General features: G+C 46.8%; 1 long non-coding RNA gene and 1 pseudogene across 3 annotated transcripts in view, besides 1 other annotated feature; one reads left to right on the top strand and one right to left on the bottom strand.

Annotated features, from left to right (window-relative positions):
• Positions 1-16,533, bottom strand: part of LOC105372395 (uncharacterized) — a 40,910-nt gene extending 24,377 nt beyond the window's left edge. For both annotated transcript variants that reach the window (XR_935962.3, XR_935961.2), the window contains exons 1-2: positions 16,229-16,533; positions 13,478-13,577 (exon numbers count right to left, since the gene is read on the bottom strand). This is a non-coding gene — a long non-coding RNA (uncharacterized LOC105372395). The remainder of the gene's footprint in view (positions 1-13,477; positions 13,578-16,228) is intronic.
• Positions 8,507-9,007: an enhancer, noted in NCBI's record as "H3K27ac hESC enhancer chr19:38353930-38354430 (GRCh37/hg19 assembly coordinates)". NCBI's record gives its function as "activates a minimal SCP1, AML or CMV promoter by ChIP-STARR-seq in naive H9 embryonic stem cells {active_cell/tissue: H9 hESC(naive)}" and the evidence as "EXISTENCE:reporter gene assay evidence [ECO:0000049][PMID:30033119]".
• Positions 16,534-17,100: 567 nt separating the features above from the next.
• Positions 17,101-19,428, top strand: part of WDR87BP (WD repeat domain 87B, pseudogene) — a 31,475-nt pseudogene continuing 29,147 nt past the window's right edge. Inside the window, exons 1-2 of the transcript NR_040015.1 lie at positions 17,101-17,193; positions 18,335-18,398. The product of NR_040015.1 is annotated as a WD repeat domain 87B, pseudogene (transcript). The remainder of the gene's footprint in view (positions 17,194-18,334; positions 18,399-19,428) is intronic.

The following is a 19,428-nucleotide window of genomic DNA, read 5'->3' as shown; positions in this document are numbered from 1 at the left end:
CTATATGGGGCCAGGCATGTCCAACATGGAGGCTCCATCTTCCCTTTTTTTGTTACCACCTGTACAGCAATAAAGAAATGGGCAACATAGCACAGTCTAGGCAGAGAACCCACCTGCATGATAAAAGATCAGGCTGGGGTTACCGAAGATTCACGCCTATGCCAATGGCACACCTGATCCAATCAGTTTTTCATGCCCTATGTAAATCAGACACCATCTTCTCACCAGATCACCTATAAAACCCCTGCGTTTCACTATGGATTGGGCAACCCATTTTTCCAGGACCCCTCTCTGCAGCAGAGAGCTATTTTCTTTCTTTCGCTTAGTAAACTTCCACTCTCAACCTCACTCTTTGTGTGTCTGCATTCTTGTTCCTGTGGCTGTGAGACAAGGAACCTTGGGTGTTACTCCAGACTACAAGGCTGCTTCACTAACACACCTTCTCACCATGGATGGTAAGAAGAAAAGACAATTTAAACTCGATTGACCAGGAAGTGGGAGGAGGAGAGAAAGCAGCAGCCCATAAGGTCAGGTGGGGAGAATTTTTTTTTTTTTTTTTTTGAGATGGACTCTCACTCTGTCACCCAGGCTGGAGTCCAGTGGTGTGATCTTGGCTCACTGCAACCTCCACCTCCCAGGTTCAAGCAATTCTCCTGCCTCAGCCTACCAAGTAACTGGGATTACAGGCATGCACCACCATGCCAGGCTAATTTTTGTATTTTTAGTAGAGACGGGATTTTACCATGTTGGTCAGACTAGTCTCAAACTCCTGACCTCAGGTGATCTGCCCACCTCAGCCTCCCAAAGTGTTGGAATTATAGGTGTGAGGCACCATGCCCGGCCAGGTGAGAAGATTTCAATATGGGAGTGGAAACCAAAAATAAAACTCTAAGCACCCCAAACAACTGAATGGACCCCTCCTCTTGGCCAAGGGCATTCTAAGGTAAACCTGAAACACTAGTTCCGGCAATGATGGGAATGGGTGGTTGGACATGTCTCATTATACCTTCTTCCCTTTGGAATTCAGGCACAGCCGACCAGCATGAACAGTGAAACAGAGACCTTAAGACTGAGAAAACATACTTTTTGTAGCAATAAGATACCAACATGACAGATAGGAGGCCCTGAAAGAAATGGAAGTATTTTGTTCCAAAATATATTTCTTTGACACATTTTGAAATGGCCCTGCAAAGCTGACTCTTGTGGGGAAAATCAACATTTGTAGAGAATCCCCTTCCCTTTTCAGGTCTTTTTCCTGATCCAGGAGAGAATGAGAGAATTAACTAAGAGTCTGGCACCTTTCTAAGTCTCATAATAAACATGTATAATCTATTACCTCTGAAACCTGCTACCTGGACACTTCATCTGCATAGTAAGAACCTTGGTCTCCACAACCCCTTATCTTAACCCAGACACTCCTTCTATTGATTCCAGGTCTTTTTTTTTTTTTTTTTTTTTTTTTTTTTTGAGATAGAGTCTCCCTCTATCACCCAGGCTGGAGTGCAGTGGTGCAATCTCGGCTCACTACAACCTCCACCTCCCAGGTTCAAGCAATTCTCTAGCCTCAGCCTCCCAAGTAGCTGGGGTTATAGGTGCTTACCACCACACCCAGCTAATGTTTGTATTTTTAGTAGAGACTGGGTTTCACCATACTGGTCAGGCTGGTCTCGAACTCCTGACCTCAGGTGATTCACCCACCTCGGCCTTCCAAAGTGCTGGGATTACAGGCGTGAGCCACCATGCCCAGCCTAGATAAAGTCAACCAACTGCCATTTAGAAAATTTTGAATCCACCTATGACCTGGACACACCCCACTTCCAGTTGTCCAGTCTTCCCAAATCAAACCAATCTACATCTTGTATGTATTGATTGATGCCTTATGTCTCCCTAAAATGTATAAAATCAAGCTGCAGCCCGGGCACCTTGGGTGCATGTTGTCAGGACCTCCTGAGGCTGTAACACTGGCCATGGTCACTGTATCTGGCTCAGAATAAATCTCTGCAAATATTTTACAGAGTTTGACTCTTTTTGTCAACAGGAGATACTTAAGCACTTAAGCAAAGAAAGTTAAAGCACTTTCCTTAACTCTACAAAGAGTTAAATAAAGAGAGAGGGAAGAAACATGAAAAGCACTCAACAGTCAAGACAGGTTTATTTTGGAGCAATAAACCTGAGAGGGGCTTCTGGCTGATTTCAGTCAGGAGCGTGCTCTATTACAGACTAAGTGTTTATTGGTGAGAGAGCTTGGAATGTTTCTGTGTCGGGGAGAAGTTTATGGTGGGGTTGGAATGTCTCTAGTTGGAGGGAAGGTTATCTTGGGGCTGACATCTCTCCAGCTGGCAGGGAGGTTATCTTGGGGCTGGCATGTCTCTGGTCAGGGAGGAGTCTGGAATGTGTCTGGTCGGAGATGTTATTTGTGGTTTATGGTCATGCTGACCTTAGCCATTAGGCTGATGCCCTTTGGATTTAGGCAGTTTTTAATCAAGGTAAACTTAAAACGACAGTGCTTGGCCAAGGTGGTGATACTCCTGCTCTGTCATGTTTGTCATGCTGACGTGGCCAAATCATGGAGATGGTAAGCTTGAAGGCGTAGGATGAACAGGGGAATACTGGGATAAGCCAGGTCCCTGATAAAGCAAGAGAGAATGGGGTCCAGACTCCAGGTGGAAGAATTAGCTTTAGACAAGGGGACAGGGATGTACCTTTCCAGCGTAGTGAGGGGTGTGAAAGGAAAAAATCTTGGGCCCCCAAAATCACTAAGCTAAAGGGAAAATTCAAGCTGGGAACTCCTCAGGGCAAACCTGCCTCCCATTCTATTCAAAGTCATCCCTTTGCTTACTGAGATAGATGCATATTCTGATTGCCTCCTTTAAAAAGGCGTATCAGAAACTCAAAAGAATGCCATTTGTCTCTCACCTACCTGTGACCTGGAAGTCCCCTCCCTGCTTGAGTTGTTCCCGTCTTTCTGGAGGGAACCAATGTACTTTTTTTTTTTTTTTTTTTGAGACAGAGTCTCACTCTGTCACCCAGGCTGGAGTGCCGTGGTGCCATCTTGGCTCACTGCAACCTCCACCTCCCAGGTTCAAGCGATTCTCCTGCCTTAGCCTCCCGAGTAGATTACAGACGCCCGCCACCGCACCTGGCTAATTTTTGTATTTTTAGTAGAGACGGGGTTTCACCATCTTGGCCAGGCTGGTCTTGAACTCCTGACCTCAGGTGATACACCCGCCTTAGCCTCCCAAAGTGCTGGGATTACAGGCATGAGCCACCGCGCCCAGCCAGAACCAGTGTACTTCTTACATATATTAATTGATGTTTCATCTCCCTAAAATGTATAAAACCAATCTGTGCCTCAACACCTTGGGCGCATGTCGTCAGAACTTCCTGAGGCTGTGTCACGGGCGCGTGTCCTCAACCTTGGCAACATAAACTTTCTAAATTGACACCTGTCCCAAATTTTCAGGGTTCATGGGGGAATAAGAAAAGATAGGAAAGTTTGTAGCTGTGACAAATGAGAAATAAAAATAAAATTCTAGTCTCCAATGGACTGAATGGACCCCATCTTGGCCAAGGGAACCCCACAGAAACCTTGGAAGCTGAGTTCATGGCCATAATAAGATGGGAGATCAGAGAGGCCTTGTTATACCCCCTCCTTCGCTACCAGTCATTAGCCTTTCTTCCCTAAGGGCTAAACAGAACTCCCTGCTTCCCCCCATTTTTTGAGACAGGGTCTCCCTCTGTTGCTCAGGTTGAAGGGCAGTGGCACAATCATGGATCACTGTGGCCTTGACCTCCCTGGCTCAGGTGATCTTCCCACCTCAGCCTCCTGGCTAGTTTCTTTGTATCTTTAGTAGAGACAGGGTTTTGCCATGTTGCCCAGGCTGGTCTTGGACTCTTGGGCTCAAGTGATCTGCCCACGTTGCCCTCCCAAATTTTTGGGATTACAGGCATGAGCCACCGCACCTGGCCCTAAACCAGCCCTTTCAAAAGACTACTGGCTTATCTTACCTGGTACAGAACAAAGACAAGAGTAATCCTTTTTGATTCCTTCACCCCTTCCTGAGACATGCTTCCTATTCCCTTTTTCTTCAAATGTACACCTTGTCTTATGTAAAAGGTAGATTTACTGGGCACTAACTAAAGTCTCACAATTATGTAATCATTTGTCTTACTGTGGGCCTCCCCCACCTCCGCCTTTAAGGAAAACGTATAAACACTAAACCTCCTGAGAACCTCTTTGTAGGCTCTTTGGAGATTCTCCAAACAGCCACAGATGTTTCTGTGACTCATGTTTACTGATTCTCAAGATGGCTCAATAAACCTCCATGATTTGAGACTTATGCCTCAATCACTCATTTTAGTTGTCACAAGTTAAGCAAGTTCCCAACTAATACATTCTATTTTTTCCCAAGCCACTCCTTCTTTTTCTTTCCTTTTTCTTTCTTTTTTCTTTTTCTTTCTTTCTTTCTGTCTCTCTCTCTTTGCTTCCTTCCTTCTTTCCTTCCTTCCTTCCTCCCTTCTCCCTTCGCCCTTTCCCTCCCTCCCTCCCTTCCTTCCTTCTTTCTTTTCTTTTCTTTTGTTTCTTGTCAGGGTCTTGCTCTATCACCCAGACTGGAGTGCAGTGCCGTGATCATAGCTCATTACAGCCTTGAACTCCTGTGATCCTTCCACGTCAGCTTCCCGAGTAGCTGGGACTACAAGCGTGCACCACCATGCTCGGCTATGTTTTTCTATTTTTATAGAGACAGGGTCTCGCCATGTTTACCAGGCTGGTCTCAAACCCCTGGCCTCAAGCAATCCTCCTGCCTCAGCCACCCAAAGTGCTAGTGATTACAGGTGTGAGCCACTGGATCTGACCCACATTCTATTTTTAGAGTGAAGTAAAAAGTTACTATCTGGGAGTGTGAAGGGAGTAAGAAGAAACTTGATTTTTGTAGGGCAATGATCTCCAAGGAGTACAATATTCTCCAGGAGTGTAGGAAGCCTGCAAAGTGCAAGAGCAGTGAATGTTGTCAATTCAAAACAAGTTTAGACTTGGATAAGGAGAGACCTTAGTTAGAAAGGTGTGGTAGCATGTGCCTGTAGTCTCATCTACTTGGGAGGCTGTGACAGAAGGGTCGCTTGTGGTTATGGTCAAAAAGTTGGAAGCTTGTGTAGGGGTGGGTTGCCCCTACACACCTGTGGGTGTTTCTCGTAAGGTGGGACGAGAGATTTGGAAAAGAAAAAGACACAGAGACAAAGTATAGAGAAAGAAATAAGGGGACCCGGGGAACCAGCGTTCAGCATATGGAGGATCCCGCCAGCCTCTGAGTTCCCTTAGTATTTATTGATCATCTGTGGGTGTTTCTCAAAGAGGGGGATGTGTCAGGGTCACAAGACAATTGTGGGGAGAGGGTCAGCAGACAAACACGTGAACAAAGGTCTTGGCATCATAGACAATGTAAAGGATTAAGTGCTGTGCTTTTAGATATGCATACACATAAACATCTCAGTGCTTTACAAAGCAGTATTGCTGCCCGCAGGTCCCACCTCCAGCCCTAAGGCGGTTTTTCCCTATCTCAGTAGATGGAGCATACAATCGGGTTTTATACCGAGACATTCCATTGCCCAGGGACAGGCAGGAGACAGATGCCTTCCTCTTGTCTCAACTGCAAGAGGCATTCCTTCCTCTTTTACTAATCCTCCTCAGCACAGACCCTTTACGGGTGTCGGGCTGGGGGATGGTCAGGTCTTTCCCTTCCCACGAGGCCATATTTCAGACTATCACATGGGGAGAAACCTTGGACAATACCTGGCTTTCCTAGGCAGAGGTCCCTGCGGCCTTCCGCAGTTTTTGTGTCCCTGGGTACTTGAGATTAGGGAGTGGTGATGACTCTTAAGGAGCATGCTGCCTTCAAGCATCTGTTTAACAAAGCACATCCTGCACCGCCCTTAATCCATTCAACTCTGAGTTGACACAGCACATGTTTCAGAGAGCACGGGGTTGGGGGTAAGGTCATAGATTAACAGAATCTCAAGGCAGAAGAATTTTTCTTAGTACATAACAAAATGGAGTCTCCTATGTCTACTTCTTTCTACACAGACACAGTAACAATCTGATCTCTCTTGCTTTTCCCCACAAGCTTGCAGCACTTTGGGAGGCCGGGGCAGGCAGATTGCTTGAGCCCAGGCGTTCAGTATCAGCTTGGGCCACAGCAAAGCTCCATCTCTACCAAAAATACAAACATTAGCGGGGCGTGGTGGCACGTGCCTGTAGTCCCAGCTATTTGGGAAGCTGAGGCAAGACTGCCTGAGCCCGGAGGTCCAGGCCGCAGTGAGCAGTGATTGTGCCACCGTACTCCAGCCTGGGAAACAAACTGTTTCAAAAAAATTTTTTGAAGTGGGAAGCTTGAATTTAAAATTTCAGAGGGGCCTGGGTGCAGTGGTTCACACCTCTAATCCCAGCACTTTGGGAGGCTGAGGCAGGTGGATTGCTTGAGTCCAAGAGTTCAAGACTAGCCTGGGCAACATGGCAAAACCCATCTCTACAAAAAAAAAAAAAATACAAAACTAGCTTGGCGTGGTGGTACATGTTTGTGGTCCCAGCTACTCAGGAGGCTGGGGTGGGAGGATCACCTGAGCCCAGGAGTTGGAGGCTGCAGTGAACTGTGATCATGCCACTGCACTCCAGCCTGAGTGACAGAGTGAGACCTTGCCTCAATAAATAAATAAATAAATAAATAAATAAATAAATAAATAAATAAGTAAATACATACATACATACATACACTTTCAGAGGGAAATCATTCTGAGTAATACATTCCAGGGTGTGGGTGGCTGATGTGGAGTAAAAGTGAAAGTTGTGAGAGTTAGTGAGTCCAGGGAACAGAAACCCATGTTCAGAGGAGCCATCACTCAGTACAACTGCATACCAGTAGCTGGACAGGAAGCACAGGAGCCAGGTATAAATCTGGCCTCTGAACAAGGGACAGAATCATCAATACCACACCATTCTCTCTTCTATAAGATTTGTCCCTTCCCCCAGAGGAGTGAGCCTAGCAGCCATGACCCTCCTTTTGGTCATGGTTAATTAGACCCAGAGTGTATACCAGATCCAAGCTAAGCCAATCAGCTTCTCCTTTCAAGGAATTTGGAACTAAAACTGAGAGCATCTGGTCAAACCCTGCTGGCTGCTTGAACTGAGGAAGTGTAATATTGGGCTGGAATAGCCATATTTGGCCCACGTGCATGCAAATAGGCTGAGAAAGCTGATACATGGATATATAGATATATAGAAAGGGAAGGAGAGGGAATGAAAGAGAGAGGCTTCTAGAGAGAAAGATCAGATTATCTGCAAAGGAACAAGGTTCAAACTGACATCAAATTTCTTTGTAGCAACCCTGGATGCAAACAGACCAGGAAGTAAAATATTGAAGGGGAAGAATTGTGAACCAAGAAATTTACAACTGAATTGTCAATCAATGAAGACTTTACAAAAAATAACTTCATTTAAATTGAGCGTTAAGGGAATGCAGTATTTTAATCGAACTCTGCCAATGCTTTCATCTACAGGCTTGTTGCCATTTTTGTCTTCTATGAAATTTTTGTCCCAAGAAAGACAGGATTACATTTTTTCTAACAGATTGAGCTGGTGTAGTGTATTCTTGGTTATCAAAATACTCAAATGGCTTGGGGATTTTGAATTGATAAATATTCATGATGTGTGAAAAAGCATGATACACACTGAATGATCTCAATCCCATAAAATTAAATGTGTCTATACACACATAGGGCCTAGAAGGACACGTCAAACTGTAAAGTGCTTGCCATTGTGGATGATTTTGTTCTTTGCTTCTTGTGTTTTTCGGTTTCCTATAATGCACACATTAACTTTAAAAAAATAAAAGTTTTATTTATTTATTTATTTATTTTGAGACAAAGTCTAGCTAGATCTGTCGCCCAGGCTGGAGTACAGTGGCATGATCTTGGCTCACTGCAACCTCCGCCTCCCGGGTTCAAGTGATTCTTTTGCCTCAGCCTCCTGAGTAGCTCGGACTACAGGCGCCAGTCACCACATCCAGCTAATTTTTTGTATATTTAGTAGAGACGGGGTTTCACCATGTTGACCAGGCTGGTCTCGAACTCCTGACCTCGTGATCCACCTGCCTCAGCCCTCCCAAAGTGCTGGAATTACAGGCATGAGCCACCGTGCCCAGCCAATGAAAGTTATTTTTAAAACCTGAAAAAAAATAACTTCAAGCTCACGAGGCCTCACAAAGATTGCCACATAGAGGCCCATTTGGAAAAAGTTTTGGAGGAAGGGCCAAAAAAAAAAAAAAAGAGAGAGAGAGACAGAGAGAAAGAGAAATCCTACAGATGCTGCAAGAAAAATGGGAAGAGGCCAGACGCGGTGACTCATGCCTGTAATCCCAGCACTTTGGGAGGCCAAGGCAGGCTGATTTCTTGAGGTCAGGAGTTCGAGACCAGCTTGGCTAACATGGTGAAACCCTGTCTCTACTAAAAAGACAAAAATTAGATGGGCGTGGTGATGAGCACATGTAATCCCAGCTACTTGGGAGGCTGAGGCATGAGAATCGCTTGAACCTGGGAGGCTGAGGTTGCAGTGGGCCTAGATCACACCACTGCACTCCAGCCTGGGTGACAGAGTGAGACTCCGTGTCAACAACAGTAACAACAAAAAAACAAAAAATGGAAAGAAAGGGTGATTTATTTTGGTAATTATTTTGGTAACTGTTCCTTGTTATTGCTATACTAATAAGGCTAGGATCTAATGAAATAAAGAGAATATTCATAACTCTAAAATAAAATTCTGGACAACATCAATATGAATGGAGGGGACAAGGATGGGAGATCAGAGGGACATGAGGATCATGGTAAAGTACTTGTCCTGTTAGAGATGATGTTGTCAATTTACTGCCTCTCAGACCCGGCGCGGTGGCTCACACCTGTAATCCCAGCACTTTTGGAGGTTGAGGTGGGTGGATCACTTGAGGTCAGGAGTTTGAGACCAGCCTGGCCAACATGGTGAAACCCCATCTCTACTAAAAATACAAAAGTTAGCCAGGTGGGTGGTGGGCACGTGTAATCCCAGCTACTCAGGAGGCTGAGGCAGGAGAATCACTTGGACCTGGGAAGCAGAGGTTGCAGTGAGCTGAGATCACACCATTGCACTCCAGCCTGGGTAACAATGTAAAACTCTTGTCTCCAAAAAATAAAAATAAAGAAATACATAAAATTAAAAAAAATTATTGTCTCTCAGCTCCAAATTCACCCTTTAACATATGCTCTGCCATAATGGACAGAATTCCTTTAAGCATCTCTACAGTGAGCACAATGTGAGATCCTTGTGAGAGTAACTGGGGGCTCTGGAAGGACGCTACAGAGGAAGGGGCTCTCCTGCTGTTCCTGGCTGCTGCATGGTGGGTGTTGGGGAGAGAACATCCAATAGAGCTCTGCCACAGCCATGTTCTCAGAATGTCTGGTGTCTCGGTGACCTTGCAGCTTTGGTGTGGCCTTACAATTACCTTCCTGCATTAATATGGAAAACCAGTGCCCCAGACGTCTCTGCTTCTTCCGCACACCCATGCCACAGGTCGCTGATTGTCTGTGCTTTGCCTGCACTCTGGATGGTTGCTTTCTGTTTGTTCAGAAACTGCAGACCAGCTCCAGCCTGGGAAAACTGGCAAACTTTTCCTGCTTCCTTCTGCTTCCCTCTTCCTCCTCCCCCCACCCCTCCTCCTCTTCCTCCTTCTTCTCCTTCTCCTCCTCCTCCTTCTTCTTCTTTCTTCTTTCCTCCTCCTTCTCCTCCTCCTTTTCTTTTCTCCTCCTTCTTCTCCTTCTTTTCTTCTTCTTTTCTCCTCCTTCTTCTCCTCCTTCCTCCCTCCCCCCTCCTCCTTCCTCCTCCTCCTCCTTCTTCTTTTTCTTCTTCTTCCTTATTATTTTTTTTGGAGGGGGAGACATGGTCTTGCTCTGTTGTCCAGGCTGGAGTACAGTGGCATGATCATGGCTCACTGCAGCCTCAGCCTCCTAAGTACCTGGAACTGCAGGCATGAGCCACGGTGCTTGGCTAATGGGCTTTGTCTTCTCCAGTTACGTCTGAACTCCAGCTTTGGGGAGGGAGCCCTTTTCCAAGTTTGTCCTTCTTTGAGTATTCTCTCTTAGTCCTAGGTTGCCATATGGAGTTTCCTTATAGCTTGTAATATATATATATATTTTTTTGAGACTTGCTCTGTCACCCGGGCTGGAGTGCAATGGCACCATCTCGGCTCACTGCAACCTCCGCCTCCCGGGTTCAAGTGATTCTCCTGCCTCAGTCTCCCAAGAAACTGGGATTACAGGTGTCTGCCACCACGCCCAACTAATTTTTGTATTTTTAGTAGAGACGGGGTTTCACCATGTTGGCCAGGCTGGTCTCGAACTCCTGACCTCAGGTGATCTGCCCGCCTCAGCCTCCCAAAGTGCTGGGATTACGCCGTAAGCCACCGCGCCCGGCCTGTAATCATTATTTGATCAGAATTTAAAAACTTTTTATATTAAATTTCTTTTGTTTAGCCCACTGTGTGTTTTATATTTCTTAAGTGGATCGAGACTGACACAGAAGGTACAAATAGTGATAAATTTAAGATATAAATAGGGGGCTGGGCATCACCCAGCCTGGAGTGCAGTGGCATGATCTTAGCTCACCGCAACTTCTGCCTTCCAGGTTCAAGGGAGTCTCCCACCTCAGTCTCCCGAGTAGCTGGGACTGCAGGCATGCACCACCACACCTGGCTAATTTTTGTATATTGTTGGTAGAGACGGGGTTTCACCATGTTGGCTAGCCACTATGAGCCACCACGTCCAGCCAAACTTACCCTTTAAAAGGCAGAGACTTTCAGACTGGATTAAAAAAACCAAGGTCCAATAATATGTTGTCAAGGAATAATACATTTAAAATAAAAAGAAAGCTTGAAAATAAAAGGAAGTAAAATTATATGCTACATAAATATGAATTAAAAGACACCTAAAGTAGCAGTCCTACTAGCTCACAAAACAAAATTTAAAGTCAAGATAAAACAGAGTAAAATGGTGGTTACCAAAGACTGGGAAGGGAAGGGGAGAGAGGGTACATAAAGAGAAGTTGGTTGGTTAATGTGTACAAAACTACAGTTATATAGAATCTAATATTCGATAGTACAGTAGGGAAATTATAGTGAACAATTATTATATATTTCAAAATAGAAGAGAAGAACTGTAATGTTTTCAACACAAAGAAAAGACAAATCGGCCTGGCAAGGTGGCTCACGCCTGTAATCCCAGCACTTTGGGAGGCTGAGGTGGGTGGATCACCTGAGGTCAGGAGTTCAAGACCAGCCTGGCCAACATGGTGAAACCCCCTCTCTACTAAAAATACAAAAATAAGCCAGGCATGGTGGCGCATGTGCCTGTAATCCCAGGTACTAGGTGGAGGTGGATGCAGAATTGCTTGAACCCTGGAGGCAGAGGTTGCAGTGAGCCGAGATTGCACCACTGCACTCCAGCGTGGGCAACAGAGTGAGACTGTCTCAAAAAGAAAGAAAAGAAAAAGAAAGAAAAGAAAAGAAATGACAGATGTTTGAGGTGATGGGTATCCCAATTACCCTGACTTGATAGTTCCACATTGTTTACAGGTATCGAAATAGCACATGTACCCCCCCAAATATGTACAACTATGATATATGTATAAAAACATAAAAAATAATAAAGGACAAAGAAAAATCTAATAAAAAGTACAACAGAAGGAAAAATGTTAATCTTAAACAGGCAGCTAACAATCCTGCCTAAAATATAGCAAAGTGACAAAACCATAAGGAGAAACAGATTGTTGGAAATTTGAATACTCAATAAGAAATTGTAACACCTTTTTTTTTTTTTTTCCTAAGATGGAGTCTTTCTCTGTCATCCAGGCTGGAGTGGTGCAGTGGCGTGATCTTAGCTGACGGCAATCTCTGCCTCGCAGGTTCAAGTGATTCTCCTGCCTCAGCCTCCCAAGTAGCTGGGATTACAGGCACCTGCCATCCTGCCTGGCTAATTTTTGTATTTTTAGTAGAGATGGGGTTTCACTATGTTGGCCAGGCTGGTCTCGAACTCCTAACCTCATAATCCACCCACCTAGGCCTCCCAAAGAGCTGGGATTACAGGCGTGAGCCACCATGCCCAGCCACACCCATCTAATTTTTGTATTTTCCGTAGAGACAGGGTTTCACCATGTTGGCCAGGCTGGTCTCATACTCCTGACCTCAAATGATCCACTTGCCTCAGCCTCTCAAAGTGCTGGGATTACAGGTGTGAGCCACCACACCTGGCCTGCTTTTGGATATTTTAACAGAAAGGCAGAGAGAAATAAATGGTTGAGAGATTTAATCAGAGAAAGAAAAGATCCCAAGGATCTAAACAATACTATCAACCTTTAGCTAATTATAGAACCTTAATTCCAATAAATGGCATATACAATAAATAGATAGCATATAAAGCCACTGAACCTTTAATATCAATAGCTTCAACCTTCAGCTAATTATAAAACTTTAATACCAATAAATATATACCACATACTTTTAAAAAATTCTATTTCTCAGCTGGGCGCAGTGGCTCACACCTGTAATCCCAGCACTTTGGGAGGCTGAGGCGGGTGGATCACGAGGTCAGGAGTTCGAGACCAGCCTGGCCAACCCAGCCTGGCCAACATGGTGAAACCCCGTCTCTACTAAAGATACAAAAAATTAGCCGGGTGTGGTGGGGTGCACCTGTAATCCCAGCTACTCAGGAGGCTGAGGCAGGAGAATCGCTTGAACTCGGGAGGTAGAGGTTGCAGTGAGCCGAGGTCACGCCATTGCACTACAACCTGGGCAACAGGGCGAGACTCTGTCTCAAAAAAAAAACATCCTATTTCTCCTGCTCCTTACAGATTAGACTTTTTTGTTTGTTTGTTTTGAGACAGGGTTTTGGTCTGTCATCCGTGCTGAAGTGCAGTGGCACAGTCAATCATGCTCACTGCCACCTCAACCTCCTGGGTTCAATGCTGGGATTACAGGTGTACGCCATTGTGCCTGGCTGATTTTTTTAAAAACATTTTTTATTGGTTACAAGCAAATCAAAAGCTTATCTATGGCTGGGCGCCGTGGCTCATGCCTGTAATCCCAGCACTTTGGGAGGCCGAGGCGGGCAGATCACATGAGGTTGGGAGTTCGAGACCAGCTTGACCAACATGGAGAAACCCCGTCTCTACTAAAAATACAAAATTAGCCGGGCGTGGTGGCGCATGCCTGGAATCCCAGCTACTTGGGAGGCTGAGGCAGGAGAATCGCTTGAACCCCGGAGGCAGAGGTTGCAGTGAACTGAGACTGCACCATTACACGCCAGCCTGGGCAACAAGAACGAAACTCTGTCTCAAAAAATATATATATAAAATAAATAAATAAATACGCTTATCTACAATGGCAAAACAATGGCAATAAGGTACCTGGCAGGTTTGGAAAACAGCAAAAAGGCCAGTGTTCCTGGAGTAACGGGGCCAGATTATGTTGGGACTTTGGAACCATTTTAAGGTCTTGGCTTTTACTCTGCAAGAGATGGAAACCATGGGAGAGTTTGAGCCGAGGAGTGTTGCAGTCTTACATTTTTAAAAAGCACTTTGATTGCTATGTAGAGACTAGATTGCAGTGAGGTAGGCAGAAATCCAGGGAAGGGGAGTGGAAGCAGCGGAATGAATGAAGAGTCTGCTACAGTAATCTAGGGGAAAGAGGACTATTGGGCAGATCTGGATCTATTTGGAGGATGAGCCATAAGGATTTACTGATAAGACTGGGTGTGGGTATGAGCGAAAAGGAAGAGTTAATGATGACTTCAGGGTTTTTTGGCTTGAACAGTTGGAAGGCTGGAGGTACAATCGTGTTGGGGCAGATTAACAAGGAAGTGGATACCGGAAGGAAGATTAGGAACTCATAAATTCAGTTTTGGACAAATTGAGATTAAGAGGCCTATTAGATGTTTACTTTGTCTAATAGGCAATTGGATATATGACTCTGGAGTTGAGGGGAAAGGTATGAGCTGGAGTTATAAATGTGGCAAACATTGATACCAATGAGGTGCCTGGCAGGTTGGAAGAACAGCAAAAACGCCAGTATACCTGCAGCAAATTGAGTGAAGAGGAGAGTAACAGAAAATGAGATCAGAAAGTAGGCTGGGCGCGATGGCTAACACCGGTAATCCCAGCACTTTGGGAAGCCGAGGCGGGCGGATCACTGAAGGTCAGGGGTTCGAGACCCATGTGGCCAACATGGTGAAACCCCGTCTCTACTGAAAATACAAAAATTAGCCAGGCGTGGTGGCGGGCGCTTGTAATCTCAGCTACTTGGGAGGCTGAGGCAGAATTGCTTGAACCTGGGAGGAGGAGGTTGCGTTGAGCTGAGATTGCACCACTGCACTCCAGCCTGGGTGACAGAGTGAAGACTGTGTCTCAAAAAAAAAAAAAAGTAACAAGGGGCCATATTATGAACCCCAGATGAGAAGATACCTAAAGCCATGAGACTGGATGAGATGACCAAGGGAGTGTGGATAAGGAAGAGGAACAAAGATTGAGTTCGGAGGAGCATCAATATTAACAGGTTAAAGAAAAGTGGAAGAATCAGTACAGAAGATGGAGAAGGAGAGGCTAATGAGGTAGAAAGAAAACCAAGAATGCGTGATGTCAAGGAAACTAAGTGAAGAAAGTGTATTAAGGAGGAGGGGGTGATTATTTGTGTTAAGTGCTGCCAACAGGTCAGGTAGAATAACAATCGAAAGTCAACCATTAAATTTAGCAAGATGATTGTTGGTAACCTTGACAAGGACAGTTCTGGTAGTGACAGATGCTGAAGTGTAATTGGAATGGGTTCAATAGAGGACAAGAAAAGAGAAATTAGAGGCAGGAAATATAGATAATACTTTCTATGAGTTCTGCCTGGAATGGAGCAGTGGTTGATGGGAGTAGGGGAATTTTTTAACGTGTGTGTGTGTGTGTGTGTGTGCGCGCGAGCGTGTGTGCGTTGTTTGTTTTCAAGGTGAGGGAATTGCTGGAGTCAAGAACTGGACAGAGCTCCTGCTTTTGGCTGGGCACGCTGGCTCACACCTGTAATCCTAGCACTTTGGGAGGCCGAGGCAGGTGGACCACTTGAGGTCAGGAGTTTGAGACCAGCCTGGCCAACATGGTGAAACCACGTTTCTACTAAAAATACAAAAGTTAGCTGGGTGTGGTGGCACATGCCTGTAGTCCCAGCTACTCAGGAGGCTGAGGTGGAAGGATCACCTGAACCCGGGAAGCAGAGGTTGCAGTGAGCCGAGATCGCACCACTGCACTCCAGCCTGGGCTACAGAGCAAGACTCCGTCTAAACAAACAAACAAAAACTGGACAGATAAAAGGGGGTGGAATCTAGTGCCTAATTGCTGAATGGACTTTAGATAAGAACATGGTTAGTTCATTTGCGGCAAGAGAGGAGAGGCAGTGTATATGAGCAGAGATGCAGATAGGTAGGCATGGTGCTGGGAGTCTGTAGAGAATCTCATCTGATAGCTTTGGTTTTCTCAGTGAAGAAGCACTTATTAGCCTAGAGGGAGGCAATGGGAGTGTGCGGTCGGTTTGAAAAGTTGTGTTTGGCAGTGAGTGGACTAAAAACACAACAAAACCCTAAACAGTGTGTCTGCGGGGGAGCACTAAGAACTACTTGAGGTTCGTGGTTATAACTTGAAAGCGGGAGCAGGGTGGCAGTGCACTTTTCTCCAGCCACATGCGGGCCAGGGTGCAGCTTGGCTACTTAGGGAGCGGAAGCCACCGCCTGGCGCCTGCTGGGAAGGCTCCCTCTTCCCACAGGATCTCCTGAGAGCTGCAATCCACCTGTCGCCTCCACCTTTTCTCTTTGGGAACTTTGAGGGGGAGGGAGAGACGAAATACAGGGAGCTACAGACGGGGCAAACTGAGAGTTGTATGTTAGGAGCCGTAGTTCCCAACGCCCTGTATGTTAGGAGCCATAGTTCCGGTCACCTCCCCAAGTACCATCTCTGCTCCTATCTACTTGCAGGCAACATTGGGGAGGTGAACACCATGGAGACTTCCAACACGAGGCAGATGGGGAACTTTAGTATTCCTGTCACCACCCTCATCTGCTATCACCAGAGGACGCTGGGGAACAGGTTAAAGGGAAAGGCGAAATCCATGGAACTTGGAAGGGATCTTACCTGAAAAGTCAGTTTCCCCAACGTGGGGCACAGCTGCACGGGGAAAACCCAGTCTTCTGGCCGCCACTCCCCGTAGAGATGGACGAAGGCAGCGCCTGGGGGGCGCTACGCCCTGGACGCTGGCGGATGCAGTCCGGTGTCGCGGTCCCCGATAGGACTTGCAGTCCGCACCCGCACCCGGAAGGACGACGTCTCCCGCCCCAAGGGGAATCCCGCACTAAGGCCGTAATAGGGGCTTGTCACCACCACCACCCCGCCTTTATTTTTTTTTTATTTTTATTTTGAGACGGAGTCTCGCTCTGTCGCCCAGGCTGGAGTGTAGTGGCGCTATCTCGCCTCACTGCAACCTCCGCCTCCCGGGTTCAAGCGATTCTCCTGCCTCAGCCGCCCGAGTAGGTGGGATTACAGGCGTCCGCCATCATGCCTGGCTAATTTTTGTATTTTTGGTAGAGACGGGGTTTCGTCATGTTGGCCAGGCTGGTCTTGAACTCCTGAGTCACCACCCTTTAATGCCGCTCTCCCCATCCTGTCCCTCCTGTGTGGGTCTCCGAACGCCCGGCTCAAGGCACTACTCGTAATTGTAGAGGGGGAGAGCCGCGAGACCCACAGAAAAAGAGAGCTGAAGAGCGCGTGAGGCGTCAAAGTAGGAAGCCTGCTGTGGAGCAGGAGCTGCCGGGCGAGCCTCGCGGAAGCTCCTGGGCGGGGAGGTGGGATGTGACGGAGGGCGTGGCTCCGCGGATGGTAGAGCCCCTCCTTTGCGCGCGCGCCCTAGCCCCGCCCTGGCTTGCACGCATGCGCGTTCGGTGGGTTCCGCGTGCTTTCTCGCCAAAGTGCGGCGGCTGCTTTTCCCAGCTTCAGCTAGGCGGCAACAAGGTTCTCATAGCACACCGGGCTGGCGCGGAAGGGAGCCAATGGTCCGGCTTAGACACCTGCCTCTGCTCCTGCCCAACGCCCTGAGACACCAGGTTCTATACACGGAGTCCAGGGCCGTGTTTTCCGTGTGTGTGTGTGTGTGTGTGTGTGTGTGTGTTATTTTTGAGACAGAGTCGCCTCTGTTGCCCAGGCTGGAGTGCAGTGGCGCGATCTCGGCTCACTGCAGCCTCCGCCTCCCGGGTTCAAGCGATTCTCCTGCCTCAGCCTACTTTGTAGCTTGGATGACAGGCACGCGCCACCATGCCGGGCTAATTTTTGTAGTAGAGAAGGGGTTTCGCCATGTTGGCCAGGCTGGTCTTGAACTCCTGACCTCAGGTGATCCGCCCGCCTCGGCCTCCCAAAGTGCTGGGATTACAGGCGTGAGCCACCGCGCCCGGCCTTCTCATAGCTTTTGTTTCATGGCTTCTTCCGGCCTGGTGGAACTCAAGCGTTGCCTTTATGAAGGGCTGCATGGGGACCCCGTAGAACCGTAAAGAGCCGGCCATGCTTGCAAACCGCTGATGCAAGGCCTCTGTCACAAAGGCCAGAGCGTCCCATGCACATCCCAGCACGGCCAGGCGGGACAATGGCATAATGGCTCAGCACATGTCTGGAGTCTGACTCTTCGCCCTGCCACATTCTGGCTGTGTGGTGGGGCATTTCCTCACCTGGAGGAAGGGGAATGATAGTAGCTTTAAGTAGTATTGCCACATTTTATTTAGCAAATTAAAATGGAGGACACCCAATTAAGTTTGGATGTCAGTTAAAAAAGAAAACAAGGGCCGGGCGCTGTGGCTCCTGCCTGTAATCCCAGCACTTTGGGAGGCCGAGGCGGGCGGATCACCTGAGATCAGGAGTTCGGGACCAGCCTGACCAACATGGAGAAACCCCGTCTTTACTGAAAATACAAAAATTAGCTGGGCGTAGTGGCCGGCGCCTGTAATCCCAGATACTCGGGAAGCTGAGGCAGGAGAATCGTTTGAACCCGGAAGGCAGAGGTTGCGGTGAGCTGCCATTGCGCCATTGCACTCCAGCCTGGGCAACAAAAGCAAAACTCCATCTCAAAAAACAAAACAAAACAAAACAAAGAAAAAGAAAACAGAATTTTTTAGCATGTATCTCCCAAATATTTTTCACTGAAATTCAAATGTAACCGGGCATCAAGTTCAAATGTAACTGTATTTTATCTGGCAGCCCTGCTTTAAGGCAGTGTTTGGAGACAAGGCATGAACAGTTCCTAGAGCAGTGTCTGGCACATGTAAGCACACAATAAAGTTTATTTAGATAAAAGGGTCACACTCCCTGCCCTCCCTCACAATATATTAGTGTCTCTACTCATCCGGCTGTAGGATCTCAAATGGCCAGCCCTCAGAAAGTCATTCTGTCATAAAAGGACAGTTTAAATCTCGCCATCCCACCGCAATGTAGTGACCCCTTTCCACTATCACAAACTACCAGATTTCCCCTGCCTCCCAGCGCTTGGCATATTCATGTGGGGATTTTCATGCTCTTCATGTTGCTGCTTTCACTGGACATATGGGGGAGGGGCTGGGGGAGTCCGAGGCATTATGATGTTGAAGCCAGTGACACTCTTTCTAGGGGAAATTGTAGCTGGAGTCTGTCTCTTCTAGAACTAGGGGCATGTAATCCTCTGTGTGTGAGCCAGGAGGCAATGGAGATTCAGAGGGGAAGCCTATGATGTTTGTATGATGTTAGTAACAGGTTTTCCCCATGGGGCGAATGTATATTGAGTGGCATTGGTCCCACTGACCTCATTAAGACGTCTGCCATAGATGAGATAAAACTTTGTTCAATCTGAAAAGTCCAAAGGAAAAAAAGTTGAAGGGGAAAATCTAGCTTTTTAAATGTAAGTCTATTTGACTCTAAAGTTTCTGTTCCATCTCATTCTCCCTTGATTTCAGTGTGCCCCTCACTTCTCTCATACTTAATAGCACCCTGCATTAATACTGCATTTTAAAATTATAATGCATTTTTATTTCATTATCTCACTGTCTTTTTCTTTTCTTTTTTTTAGACAAAGTCTCACTGTCGCCCAGGCTGGAGTGCAGTGGGGCGATCTCAGCTCACAGCAACCTCCGCCTCCAAGGTTCAAGTGATTCTCCTGCCTTAGCCTCTCAAATAGCTGGGATTACAGGTGCATGCTAATTTTTGTACTTTTAGAAGAGATGGGGTTTTGCCGTGTTGGCCAGGCTGGTCATGAACTCCTGACCTCAGGTGATCCATCCGCCTTGGCCTCCAAAAGTGCTGGGATTACAGGCATGAGCCAC

The sequence above is a fragment of the Homo sapiens genome, chromosome 19 (assembly GCF_000001405.40).
Source record: "Homo sapiens chromosome 19, GRCh38.p14 Primary Assembly".
In the NCBI taxonomy this organism is placed as follows: domain Eukaryota; kingdom Metazoa; phylum Chordata; class Mammalia; order Primates; family Hominidae; genus Homo; species Homo sapiens.
This window is presented reverse-complemented; position numbering and strand designations above follow the sequence as displayed.